The sequence below is a fragment of the Homo sapiens genome, chromosome 6, assembly GCF_000001405.40.
Source record: "Homo sapiens chromosome 6, GRCh38.p14 Primary Assembly".
NCBI classification, from domain to species: Eukaryota; Metazoa; Chordata; class Mammalia; order Primates; family Hominidae; genus Homo; species Homo sapiens.
In genome coordinates this window covers 6,328,262-6,342,347 of record NC_000006.12, presented here as the reverse complement: position 1 = coordinate 6,342,347, position 14,086 = coordinate 6,328,262, and the positions used below count along the sequence as shown (strand labels likewise).

General features: G+C 40.7%; 1 long non-coding RNA gene across 1 annotated transcript in view, besides 1 other annotated feature; it reads right to left on the bottom strand.

The window, feature by feature from the left end:
* Positions 10,487-10,536: an enhancer, noted in NCBI's record as "active region_23915". NCBI's record gives its function as "activates an Ori minimal core promoter by ATAC-STARR-seq in GM12878 lymphoblastoid cells {active_cell/tissue: GM12878}" and the evidence as "EXISTENCE:reporter gene assay evidence [ECO:0000049][PMID:35858748]".
* The window catches only part of LOC124901253 (uncharacterized), a 44,281-nt gene continuing 42,375 nt past the window's right edge, over positions 12,181-14,086 (bottom strand). The window contains exon 2 of the long non-coding RNA XR_007059428.1: positions 12,181-12,595. This is a non-coding gene — a long non-coding RNA (uncharacterized LOC124901253). The remainder of the gene's footprint in view (positions 12,596-14,086) is intronic.

Here is a 14,086-nt window from a genome sequence, read left to right as displayed (position 1 = left end):
CAGCAGGGGAAACGCTAGACACTTATAAAACCATCAGACCTCTGAGAACTCACTCACAATCACAAGAACAGCATGGGGGAACTGCACCCATGATTCAATTACCTCCCACCAGGTCCCTCCCACGACATATGGGGATTATGGGGATTACAATTCAAGATGAGATTTGGGTGGGGACACAGCCAAACCATATCAGTAGTACTAAAGCCAACTCAGAATTTGAGAGATGGAAGAGACTGTTAGAAATCAACAAAGTCAGTGAGGACACTGAGGCCAGGGAGGGCTTGAGAACCAAATATGCCAATTCTCCTTTCCATTTATGTAGATCTGGGAGAGTTAGTGAATCTTTCCACACTTGGGAAACAAGTTTTTAAGAAAATTATATGAGGAATTTGGGCACCTCGCACAGTATTTGGCCCAAATGTCCTCAAAGTTAGTGCCTGTCCCTAGTGATTTAACAAAGGCCACATGTTTCTCTGGGGGTAGCTCTACCTTCACCTGGTCTTGACCCTGTCATTCAGTCCTCTTCCTCTCCACATTCTCCAGCCATTAAAGTTGCCTTCATTTCTTTGTTCCTGGGGTCTATGAACATCCTGTTCCGAGAGAACTCAAATCAGGTATCACTTCTTTTTCTTTGTAACCTGGAAGTGGTTCTCTGAAGAAGCCATTCAATCCAACCTGAGGCTCCATCAGGTAGGTGAAAAGAGCACCTGAGAACTGCTAGTGTTACTCTTACTAGCTGTGTGACCTAGTCAGAGCCCTTCATCTTTCTAAGCCTAGTTTTTTTCATCTAAAAACAAAATATGGGTATGGCTAGCTCTCTCACAGAATTCTTATAGAAGACAGATGAAACCATGAATGTAAAAGGGATCTGTACATGATAAAATGTTATATAAATGTGATTTTGCCTTATTTGTTTATGAAATTTCTTGGAAGAATTAACAGCACAAATCAAATAGTGATCAATCACCGTTGAAACTCAATTTCTTTGCAGTGTACTGCTTTTATGAGGATGCCCTCAGCATCTTTGGTTTATGTAATGATAAATTTTATATGTGGTGCCAGATGTTCCTTTGTCCCCAAGTTCTGGGAAGCATGTCAGAAAATGTCAGAAGTGACCATTGGAAGACATTCAGGGTAACCTAGTAAAGTTCTTGGTATCTAAGGCTTATGACAGATGGTTTTAACTATTTGGTGCTTCACGTATAAGTCAATTAACATTTAACCCAATGCACTTATTTACAAAAATCTATTTAAGATATAAGACTTTCTGAATGAACATTAAAAATTCTTAAATGAAAATGATTTAAACTCACAGCTATAAAAATAATGTGGTTTTTAATTCAATTAAGATTTGTTCTCCACTGTCTTCCTTCTCTCTTAAAAAGTACAGTTGAAAGGAGAACAACCTAATTTTCTTATTTGTTTGCAAAGTACAGATGAGGGTCTGTCTTCTTATATTTTTATAGATGATCTAGTTTCCAAGGGAGAAGCAAAATAAAGGTTGAAGGCTAAGAATAGACATGTAACATTGCTCCCACCATTACTGAGAAATTAAAAGAGACATCTTTCAGTTTGTGGGGGAAAAAAAAACCATCTCTGGCAGAACTCAAATAATGTCATGACAGAAAGAGCTAAACTCCAAACTGGCGTTTATTATCTCCCTCAATTTTATTTGGTTTTAAGTTATATGTTCTCTTCATTTAGCCATTTTCAGGTGAATTTCAAACCTGTCACTTTCCTTTACTGTACACACATAAAATAAGCCCTCTGAGATTCTAGATCAAGTGGACACATTGCAGGTGAATCACTCTTAGGACTTCTACCACGGCATGCAGAGTGGATGCAGAGGAAACATAAGCAGAAATGGGCCGGACGCGGCGGCTCATGCCTGTAACTCTAGCACTTTGGGAGGCTGAGGTGGGTGGATTGCCTGAGCCCAGGAGTTTGAGACTAGCCCTTGACAACACAGTGAAACCCCGTCTCTACTAAAATATAAAAGAAATTAGCCAGGCATGGTGGCATGCGCCAATAGTCCCAGCTACTTGGGAGGCTGAGGCAGGAGAATCGCTTGAACCCAGGAGACAGAAGTTGCAGTGAGCCAAGATCGTGCCACTGCACTCCAGCCTGGGCGACAGAGCAAGACTCCATCTCTACAAAGAAAAAAAAAAAAGCAGAAATGGACATTTCAAGTACAATGAAATAGAAATTTCAGATTTCTATTTGGTTATATAAAACATCAACTCCAAGTGGCTGGAGCAATAGAAAATGTGTTGGCTCACACAACTGAAAGTTCGGAGTAGGGCTGGCTTCCTTGCTGACTTAATCCTGTGGTTCTGGATGTGTTTTTCCTGACAGTCTTTGGACTCAGCTTTTCTCCACACATTGGCTTCACCTCTAGAGTGGTAGAGAGATAGTACTAACACTTCAGATTTCGCATTTTGCACCCAGCCAAGTTCAAAGAAAGAAAGCAGAGTTATTTTCAGAAGTTTTTGCAGAAAATTAAGAATGAACTTTCCCAGAATCCCTGATCTTAGAGTCCCTAACTTAAGTCCCATGCCCATTTATGAACCACCAACCACCAAAGGAAATTGATTACCTCCAGGCATGCGGTTGTCACAAGAAAGATACTAAGGGAGAAAGCAATAGTGTCCCCAGTAGGCGTTATGAAGAAATGACAGCAAAGCCCACCAGGAATTCCTAAAGGAAAGAATAGCTGCTCATCATTATACGAATGTCAGATCTTGAAAAGCTTTTAGAAATAATCTATTCTAGCCAGGCGCGGTGGCTCATGCCTGTAATCCCAGCTCTTCGGGAGGCTGTGGCTGGTGGATCGCCTGAGGTCAGGACTTCAAGACCAGCCTGGCCAACATAGTGATACCCTGTCTTTACTAAAAATACACACAAAAAAAAAAAGGTGGGCATGGTGGTGGGCACCTGTAATCTCAGCTACTAAGGATGCTGAGGCAGGGGAAATAGCTTGAACCTGGGAGGCAGAGGTTGCAGTGAGTTGAGACTGCTCCATTGCACTCCAGCCTGGGCAACAAGATCAAAACTCCAACCAAAAAAAAAAAAAAAAAGAGATAATCTATTCAAATTTTGCAGTTTATAGGAAAGGAACTCAAGACAACAAATAAATTGAGTTTCCCAAGTTGCACAGCCGAAGGTGGCACAGCTATGACTCTGACTTAGGTGTTATTTCAAATTCATTGTGCTTTCAACACCAGGTTATTTTTTTTTTCATTCTGACTAATAAAAACAAAACCAAGGCATATAATTCTAATTGTCTTTTCATTGCTTTGGGATTCCAGCCTCTGGTGGGTACCATAACTTGTAGAGGGGAAAGGTAAATGCAGTTTATGTGATATAACTTATTTAACTTATTTACAATAACCTTTAGTTTATTTTGAGGATATAGATTACCTTTCAACATCCTGGTCTTGTGTAGCTGTTTTTTTTTCCTTATCAATAAAATTTTAAAAGGGCAACCAATGTTCCGAAAAAGAACTATAGTACTTGGGGAGCAAAACTGTATTAATTTGTGATGGCTGTTGTTTCATAGCATAACCTTCTGTATCTTATCCAACCAGGTTTTATTGTGAGTGGATTATTTGGCTTTTATTGTTTAGTTGTGCAAAACTTTACAATTATTAGAAAGAAATTGCTGTTTTGAAGCTTGTGCTTAATGGGTTATTTAACTGAACAATATTTGCAGTGAATCCTGGGATAACACTTATTTTACTAATCAACTCTACATTTAGAAGGGCTTATACTTAATTATTCCAAAAATAGCTGCATACAGTTTAGTGGGATTTTTTGGGTCCATGTCCCTGAAACAATTTTCTGGGATGAAGAGATTCCAGTGGGAAACCTCGCTGGTATTCTGTTTCAGGCCAGCAACTCAGTCTTTAAGGTAAATCTTTAAAGTCCAATCCTTAATGTAAAACATCAGTCACTGGGCTGGCAGACCAAGCATTTTCATCTGGCCTGTGACTGCAGATCTCTTCCATTGTAATCTGTGTGTGAGAGATTTTAGTGTTTCTATACAAAGACATATGCAAATCTTTTGGAGACATAGTCCCATCAACTGTGTTTCTCAAATTCCCACAAGTAGGTTTTTGTCTTCATGGGAAAACAATTCTAATGTTTTAATAAAGTGTCCAGCTTGTGCATATATTAAACCAGAGAACCTAAACATTCCTTTTTTTTTTTGAGACGGGGTCTTGCTCTGTCGCCCAGGCTGGAGTGCACTGGCTCGATCTCCGCTTACTGCAACCTCTGCCTCTCAGGTTCAAGCGATTCTCCTGCCTCAGCCTCCTGAGTCACTGGGATTTACAGGCATGTGCCACCACTCCTGGCTAATTTTTGTACTTTTAGTAGAGACAGGGTTTTGCCATGTTGCCCAGGCTGGTCTCGACCTCCTGACCTCAGGTGATCTGCCCACCTCGGCCTCCCAAAGTGCTGGGATTACAGGCGTAAGGCACTGTGCCCGGCCAACATTTCTTTCTTATCCCCTTAGTGGTTTTCCAATGAGTAATGTTACCATTTCTAAATATTTGATGAAGGTGATAAAGTGGATTAGTCCTCCACACTTCAGTGACTTGTGGATTTACTCCCAGTTGGGAGCATTTCTGTCCTAGGAATATCAAAATCAGTGACCTTTTGGATGTCAATTTGTTTCTCCATCTGTCCCACAGTAAAGATGTGAGAAATTGGGCTGATACTATTGAGCTATGTTTTACCTCCTTTTAGGTGTCTATATGTTGATTCCCATATATTGAACTTCTTTGGCAAAATTTTTTATATGCTACCTCTCTTCACTAGAGTGCAGATAGCTCACAAGTGAAGGATGCAATAATAAACCTTAAGATTTGTGGCTCATTTCCTGCCCCCTTTTTTAGTATATAGTTTCTCATAGTTTCTTCTAATATTCTAGTTTTTTTCCCACCCAAACAAAATTATCTATGTTTTTCTAGCCAAGTAATGTTAATTCAGTTACAGTGGTACACATTGGAAAAAAGTAATGTTATAGGAAAATGTGTTTCATTTTCTGAATTTTTGTCAGCTTTGTCATAAGGGGAGTTGGACCAGCATAGCCTATGTTAAGAACAACCAGCATAGCCTATATTAAGAACAATCTATGAAATAATCTTTTATACTTGTCAATAATCAAATTAGAGCTTGAAGGAAACAGACGTAGTCTTAATAACTTTCAGAATCATGTCACCTGTTTAAATTAAAGGGAACTTTAACCAAGTAGGCGGGTTGTTAACTCGAGGCATTGTTATAAATCCTGATTTTACGTAATTATTTTTGAGCCTTTTATTTTTGTGTGGGTCGATGGGAAGAATGGCTGTTAGCCTATCTGCATAAGGTCTATGTTGTCTGCATATTATCCTTTCTTAACTTAAATCTAATTTTTATATACAACATACAAGACATGAATTGTATTTGTTTAATTTAAATTTTCTTTTAAATTTTACTTCCTGTTCAGGTTATTTCTTGTCTCTTGCTCAGAGACTGATGGCTTACTCTCTGTATTTGAACCCCTAGTTCTCTTGGTCTCAACCCTGGATGTGCACTTCCTTTCTTTGTCTGTCTAGTATTTAGGTTTCTAATATGGATCATTCTCGTGGCCACCACACTTCACGCCAAGCTCGACGATAACCATCCCAGATTATAATCCTTGAGCCCAGTGAGGCATTTCAGGTTCTAAAAGTCACCTATACTGACCCATCTTGTCTTCCCCTTAATTATAATGGAAGCCTGAGATCATGTCTTACCCCAACAATGAAGTCTACTGTAATCCAATGAAAATATTGAAAAAAACTTATTGGGAGCACGAACTGGTGGCCTGGGAATAGGACCAGCTCACAGACAAGTTTTATTTAGCCAGACATGTATTTTAGAAAAATCTGAGTGTGTTCAGACAGAACAGGGACTCTCAGGTTTGAGTACGTGTTCCTGACACTCAGGTGTCCTAAATCACACTACATTAACGTTACCTGTTTGTCCCTAAATGTATTTGACATTGTGACAGTGAAGACTGGCTTTGACCATCCAATTATTTTAGGTTACCCCTATTGTGATTTTATTTTTTTTTAAGAAAATGCATCCTTCTATCATTTCTAAACTGAGATTTTGTGGGTGCTATGATGTCCTATCTGCTTAACATATTTGACATTGTTTTATTCTTGGTGATGATCCAAAGGCAAACATGAGTGACTAGAAGTAAGACCTCTGCAGTATCCTGAAGGTATGAGCAGCTCTAACACACTGAAGACTGTGACCATGATGAGCTACTATTTGAGACTCTGGTGAATATGCTTCTGGGTGGATTTAGGCAGTCCTTTGTGGCATGAATGTTCCTTCCATCTTTTTAAAGGACAATGCAAAATGTATTCCTTTATATTTGATTATTTTGGTGTTTTATTAGTTATGATCAGGCTTGGTTACAAGCGATTAAAAAACAAGAATAACAGTGCTCCTTAAAAAGTGATCAAATGTTTATTTAACTCTCACTTAAGAGGCTGAGGAGGTGATCCAGGGCTGGAATGAGCTCAGGCTCCTTCTGATTGGCTGCTTCATACACCATCCTTAAGGCTTTCCCGATGTGATCCACATGGCTGCTTTAGCTCCAGCCATCACGTTCACATTCCAGCCAGAAGAAAGGAAAATAAGTCAAGAAAGGGCACATCCCCACCTTCTAAGGACTCATGCCAGAAATTTCACACACACATATCTCCATTTATACCCCTTTCTCTACAGTTTAGTCATCTGGCCATAACCACACACAAGAAAAGTTGGAAAGTAGGATTCTTCTTGCAGACAAGTGCATAGCTAAATACTGGAGGTTCAATTATTATAGAAGAAAAAGAAAATGGATATCGAGGAGCAGCTAATCTCTAATTTCAATATACATAACAGAATCATTATTTCAATAACTTAATTTTTCATCGTTTATGTAACCATCACAAAGATATTTGTTTTCTGCCCAGAAAAAATAAATGCACATACCCGAACACACCCAACATGTCTGAATTCAAAGGTGAAAAAGCCCTAGCTCCCAGATGTATTATTTACTTTAATAATATCTATGATTATTATAAATGAAAAACCTTTGCTATGGATGTTTTAAATGCTAAAATATTTTACACTGAGTGCCTATGGCCATTTTAGTTTACTGGAATAATCTAATATATGATGGATTTATATGTCAAATTTTTCCATGAGAAATGACTATAAGTGCAGCAAATAAGCAATTCTGAAAAAAAAAATGAGAAAGGATGGCCCAACACATGAGCTTCTCATGGAAAATTAATTAGGTGCTCACGGCTCCCTAGACCTCCTGGGAGCCACCCCAAGAGGAGTTTCAGAGAGCCAAAGAAATGGCATAAATAAACCATGGTGAGCCACCTGCAGAATTAGAGAGGTGGCTAAAAGGTTATGTGCCATCAAAGAGCTGGTCAAGAAGCCTGAAGGAAGGCCATCTCTGATGGAAGATAGAAGTTGGCAGCTGACTGCTGTGGCCAAAGCAGCTGCCGACAGATGGTGAGAACAGAGAGTTGTCCTGCAAAGCTTCAGTGTGGTGTCTGGGGAGCACTGATATGGAGCCTTTTTAAGCGCTTGCTGGAAAAAGAGGTGACCCCGCTCAGCTGTTTGGGGCCACGAGCCTTTAGGATGTTAGCTTTGGCAGCAAAGACCCCATCTGCAGAGTTTCCATTTCGAGACACTCGCAGAGGGCCCAGTGCCTGCATCTGCATTTATCCAAGGGGAGCCTGCAGGGTTCCCTCTACCTGGGGACTTGGAAGCTCTTGCAGAGAGCACTCAATTGTCCTTCCATATGAGGTCAAGGAGAGAACTGTGACCCCTGGTCCTTGATGTCTCCCATGCAGCTTTGGTATCTCCATACAAGCGATAGCTGTCACCCTGTGAATAGCGATGGAACCTGAGGATTGGGCTTCACTCAGGAGCAACTGAACCAACATCTGCTCCTCCAGGAGAAGTTCCTCATCATCAATCTGAGGGATGAGAGAATAAATAGAACATAGAAGGGCTCCTGAGTGCTCAGAAAATAAGGAGAGAACTCTCAAAAGTCATTGGCGAAGTGGAATGAGGCTAGAAGCCCATAATCTCAAAAAATGAAGAAGAAAAAATATGAAAAGAGAGATGACATCAGGGCAAACCCCAAAAATCCAGAAACAAGAGAGTGAATGTACAAACATCAATGGCCAGACCATATATAAAAACAGAACTACAACCCACAGCCTGCAGCAACCTGCCCTGGAGACTATCCCACCTCTATGTAGCCAGCCAAGGAAGCCAGTATGCTACTTATAAGTCAGACTTGTAGAAAGTAAGTTCTTATCTCTCATAACAACTCAGGAAGTCAAGCAATAACTTCTATAACAATTGTCAAAAATGGCCAGGACTTGATCAATAAATTACAGCTTCCTTAATTTTTGTCCATCCTTCCAATTTAGGACCAACTGGAAAAAGCAAAATATACCCCCTAACCAATCAAATGGGATTCCCATTTCTAGTGAGCCACCTCCAGCTTCCTCATGCCAACAGCCTCTAATCAGCGCACACTGGAACCTTCCCTTTCTGCCACTCTAAAACTTTCCCACTCCTCTGCCTGCCTTTGGATTTCTGCCAAAATGCAAGTGATGGTGACTAACTGTCTTGCAAGCTCTGAATAAATAGTTTTCTGGTTCTCATTTGGTTGGTCTTCATTTATTTCTGCAGAAACTATGCATCAGCTCTCAGTCCAAACATATCATTATTTGTTACCTTATCCTCCTGTCCAGGAAGCCTTCTTCTCCCTTCCCACCTATCCACATCATACACTTTCTTCCAAACCCGACTGCCTCCAAAACCCTACCCCAGATAGCGGCGACTAATCTGACACTTTTGGTCCACAGTGGTTGGTGATTCCTATCACCTCCTGAAGGCCACTGGCATTCTATATCTCTAGAGTGCATTTTGGGGCTTGAATTATTTGTGTTACTGGTTGTCTTACTGTCTAATTCAGATGTGTTTCAATGTCTTCCCACAAAACCCTGAGCATTTACTAAGGTGTCTCTCTCAGCAGTGTTACTCAAAGGGGGTCCACCGAGGCAACGTCAGCATTCCCTTGGGATGTTTCAGAAATGCTTATGAACTGGACCCTGCTCCCAATCTGTCTAATCAGAAAGCCTCTAGAGGATTGTGGTACACATTGGTTTTTTTTTTGAGAGGCCCTGCAGCCTCTGGCATGAATCAGTTCATAGGTCCTAGGAAGTATTCAGTGAATACTCACAGAACAGAATTGATTACTTCCTTTAAATGAACCAAAGCTTCAAATAGAAGCACTGCCTTTTGTTTCAAGGACTGAACACATGAAACTGAATGAAATTTCTCTGGCCTGAGAACAAAAGTAAAAAACATATTGAAACACAGCTCCTCCCAACACATTCAGCCATCACACACTTAGACACTTCAAAGAATAGAGATTTTTATGGCGTGTGAAGAGTGAGTTAAGTACTAGCAAATTCTCAGATTAACAATAGTGCCGAAGAAGCTGCCTACTAGATGGTAGTTTTTTTTTTTTTTTTTTAAAAAAAAAAGGAAGCTAATGACCATGGAGAGGGCTGGTTCCTAACCAGGAGCTGCATCAAAAGCCAGACACTCAGATGCATGAAGAAGTCTCAGGTACCTGGGAGGGAAGGGAGTGTAACGCAGTCAGGAAATGGAGTAGTGCCAAGTATCAAGGCAAAACTGCCTGCAACAAAGTATTTTTCTTTCTCCCCAAGTGTGGCTGTGTATGCAAAACCTGGGCTCTGTTAACAGTTGGAGCCAATTGGAGAAGTGAAGCATGTAAAATTATGTTGAGGGGGAGTCTTGCATGCGGTTTGTGCAGGGTGTGCAGCTATAATCACTACTGAAAGAAAATTAGCTGCCCTAGTCAGATCCTGGATACCTCTAATAGCTTCGGTTTAAGGAAGTAAGGCCAGATGACTGGGTTTTTTTTTTTTTCTTATTATTTTTCAGAAAACACACGAAGTTGGCAAGAGAAAGGACATCTGAAATTCATGAAAATGATCGCGGCACTGGCCTTGCATGTAGACCCCTGGCAACCAGCAACTCTGCAAACACTGTCACTTTCCCATCACTGTGTTTTCTAAGTTGTCTGTGGGGCTCTTCAGTAATGGGGGCTGCAAAGAGTTTGAGGACAGACAGTGAGTCACTTGCTGGCTTTGCTACAGCATCCAGAGACGATCTGAAACAAAGTCCAGGCTGCTGCTGCTAAGTGAGAAGAAAGATAGCCTTTGGGGTCAGCAGGCCCCTTATCATAAACTACTAAATAAGCATGTTTCATACAAACAACAGCCTTCATTTTAAACAGGCCTTACCTCCACTGCACAGACTCCATATGCTTCTTAAGAATCAAACTTAAACTGGAAGATAAAGTCTGAGGTTTGGGATTGGCAGTGTTGTGTATGCTGTCTCGCTGATGTGAAATACTGATAATAAATCCAAAGAAAAGCAAGTATATTTAGTCCAAGAATACCTTCATTTCCTTTCTAAAAACAAAACATGATTAAAATCCCACACAAAGAGGTGAGCCTGCCTGTAGACCGGAAGGCTGGTAAATACATTAACGACACCTTAAAATCTGAGTCTTACCATGCCTTGGCAATTAGACCAGACAGTATAGAATGAAGAACTAAAAGCCGCTTATGGGCCCCTGGGCCACAGATTTCATAAAAAATTAATGCTGAGTGAAATAGAAACCATCTGAACTACAGCTGGCAAACATGTGCAGGGCTTTGATCGCCAAGGCCCAGCAACAAAGAGCATTTTCGGTTATTGTTTGTTCGACTGGGACTTTCTTCTGTCATATTTCCTGCCTATGCTGAAAGGCATTTTGAGACTAGAGAAGAAGTGGTGGGAAGTGAGGGTTGAAATAAAGATGGTAGTTGGCTGTTGTATTTAGAATAAATGGGCAGTTCTAACCTGCTATGGTTAACAACCCTGGTCCAGAGAACATGAGTAAGGGTCCACAGGCAGAGCCACTGCGAGGCACTCGTGAGATAGAAGAACCAAGGGGCAAGGTGTCCAAGACGGATGTTCAATGTTGCTCTTCCCTTCACCGAGAAGCTTAGGGGCTGACCGTAAGTCTTTTGCGGGAAAGGACCTCTCTCTTGCTCCCTGCAAATCCCTTGCAGCACATAACAGAGTCCCTGACCCGTATGAGGGTCCCATAAAAACTATTCTGTTGACAGACCAGAGTGGTAGAGTCACCCCACCTACAGGGGTGGTCTCCAATAGGTACCAGCTAGCTGCCACATTCTAATGTCCCCATCCCCTGCACCAGAAGACCTGTGCCTACACTGCTCAGAGGGTGAGGAGAAATCCAATCATATCTTCCAGGAGCACCATGGGCCCAGCTCTAAGAGAGATCTTGGAATGTGTAGATTTGAAGGGAAATTTTGAGTAAGAGAAAGATAGGAGTTTGGAGAAGGTGTACTTTAGCCAAGACAATGGACTTGGTTTTAAAAATGTCTGTTTGAGTCTGAAATCCGTAATGTGCCAGGTGTGTGATTATGAGCAAGCCCCTTTGCCTCTCCAAGCCTCAGTTCCCTTGTATGAATAAAGCATTTTAGGGAGCACAAATCATTCTTTACACTTGCAGTTATTTAGTGCTCCCTTTTATGTGGCTCTCAGCCTCAGAAGCCAAAGTTTAAGTGAGTGGCTGACTGTTTAAGATAAAGGTGAAATAAAAACCAGTGGTGCATATACAATTCACTAAAAACTTTTACTTTCTTTTTTTGTCAGCAACCCTATTGCTTTCACTGACATAAGAGATTCCACTGACTTTAATTCATTAATTAACTTGTATTTTTGTACATATATTATATGCCAGATTAGGTCCACAAGGAACATATTTGTTATAGGAGGAAAACACAGAATATTTTGAAGTCTATTAAATCGTGGAAACAGACTTGTTGACGAAATTCCAAAACACTAGCTTTTAATATAGTTTCCCCTTCTTGACTGCAGGCCTTAAAGATAGATACAATTTCCTACTCATCACAAAGTCTGTCAATAATAGATAGATAAATATTACCATATTAATTATATTGCTATATATTACAGCATACTCAATATTAGTGTTGTATTATTATTATAAACAGCAGGTTAGATAAATATTTATTTGATGAATGTGTCTCAGTTATCTATTGCGATGTAACACACTATCCCAAATATTAGTGGATTAAAATAACAGCCACTTTGTTTCATTGCTCACAATTTTATGATTTTGGCAGGGCTCAGCAGGGCAGTTTCTCTCTGCTCCATGCACCATCAGCTGCAGCTCCTTGACTGGGGCCAGAGGATCCACTTGCCAGGTGGCACACTCGCGTCCTCACTCGTGCTGCAGGTTGGCAGAGATGGCTGATGCCTGGGCTCCGGTAGGATTATGAGGCAGCTGGACTCCTCTCCCTCCCTGCACATTCTCATGTCCCCACCGCTCCATGTGGCCTCTCTGTATGGTTTCTCCATGTTAGCTGGACTCCAGGAGTGTAGCTAGACTTCTTAATGTTGGTTAAGGGTTCTAAAAGCATGAAAAGGCAGCTGTTAGGACATCATATAGCTTAGGTGGAGAACTGGCATAGGGCCACTTCCACTGCACCCTGTTGGTTGAAGCCAGATTCACTGTGGAAGGGGACTACACATGGCTGGGAATACCGGGAGGCATGGATGGTTGATCCATCCTTGGAAACTAGCTAATCCCAAATGAATAAATGAACACAATCATTAAAGAACCCTTCAGGTTTGAGGGTGAATGTTTAAGAAAGTACTACATAAAGCCATACCTAGCTATAATATGTGTGTGTGTATATATATATAGCATATATATGTATATAGCAGATATACACACACACACATATATGTGTATATATATGTATTTGTGTATATATATATGTGTGTGTGTGTATACACATATATATATATATATGTAATGGTATCCCAGGAGGTTGCATACAAGGTGAAAATATAGTAGAGACATAGGCCATGTCCAATTCCATAAAACACAATATCACATCATATCACACAGTTAAGCTTATAAAACATTATTGATTCTGTTTCCCAGAACAGAAAGTTTTCATAGGCTTTGTGATCATGAAATCAGATGGAACAATCAGAAGGAGTTTGAATAATCAGGGACAATGGACTTTATTAAGTCATGGCTGTTGGAAGACTTCTTTTTGGCTTTTCGAAGAATTCTAGATCATTATCACTCATAGAAGCCAGCAGGAGAATCTTGGACCACTAAAAGCCCCTTATAAAATTTCTTATATTTTTGGGCATCTGTGCTGTCTTTTTCAGAACATAGGCATAAGGAACTCTTCTGGGTAAGTTACACTGTCTATATTTATTAATACACACATGCACACACACACGTATATATAAACAACTTTTGTTTAAGTTAAAACTGCATTGTGGGAAATATTTTTAGTGAATCATGATATATGTCCATATGATAGAGTTAGTGTTTCTGATGCTATTTTAACCACTTATAGTTACCATTGTGAGAGGAGAAATGCATTAACAAGAAACACTTTCACAGGAAGGGCTCTGGCACAGTTATCTGAAACTTCACTGCAGAAATTGCTGAGGGAGCATCAAAGAAAGGAGAACTTGCCCCTTTATTTGGCTGTTTTAGCACCCACACATGCGATTATGCAATGGCCTTTGGCTTTCCTTAGAAATTCATAGATCATTATCCAGAAGTTCTGCTGTTAGGAAGACTCCAGCTGACATCATGTCCCTTCCATTTCTGGCCTTGTGTTAGTGCTTCACCTCATCAGCAAGAAGGTGCAGTTGTGCGACTACAACAGAGGGCAGCGGCACTCTTGGGCAAGAGTGCCCAAGACAGGGGCACCCTGCTGACCCATAGCCACAGACCTCATTAGAAGAGTTTGGTGAGATGCCCGTGGGTCTGCCCAGGAAGCCTACCTGGATGTGGGCTTCCAGAAAGAACTGGCAACATGTGGAAGCTGGTCCCTTCACTGGCAACCATGTGGAAGCTGGTGCCTTCACT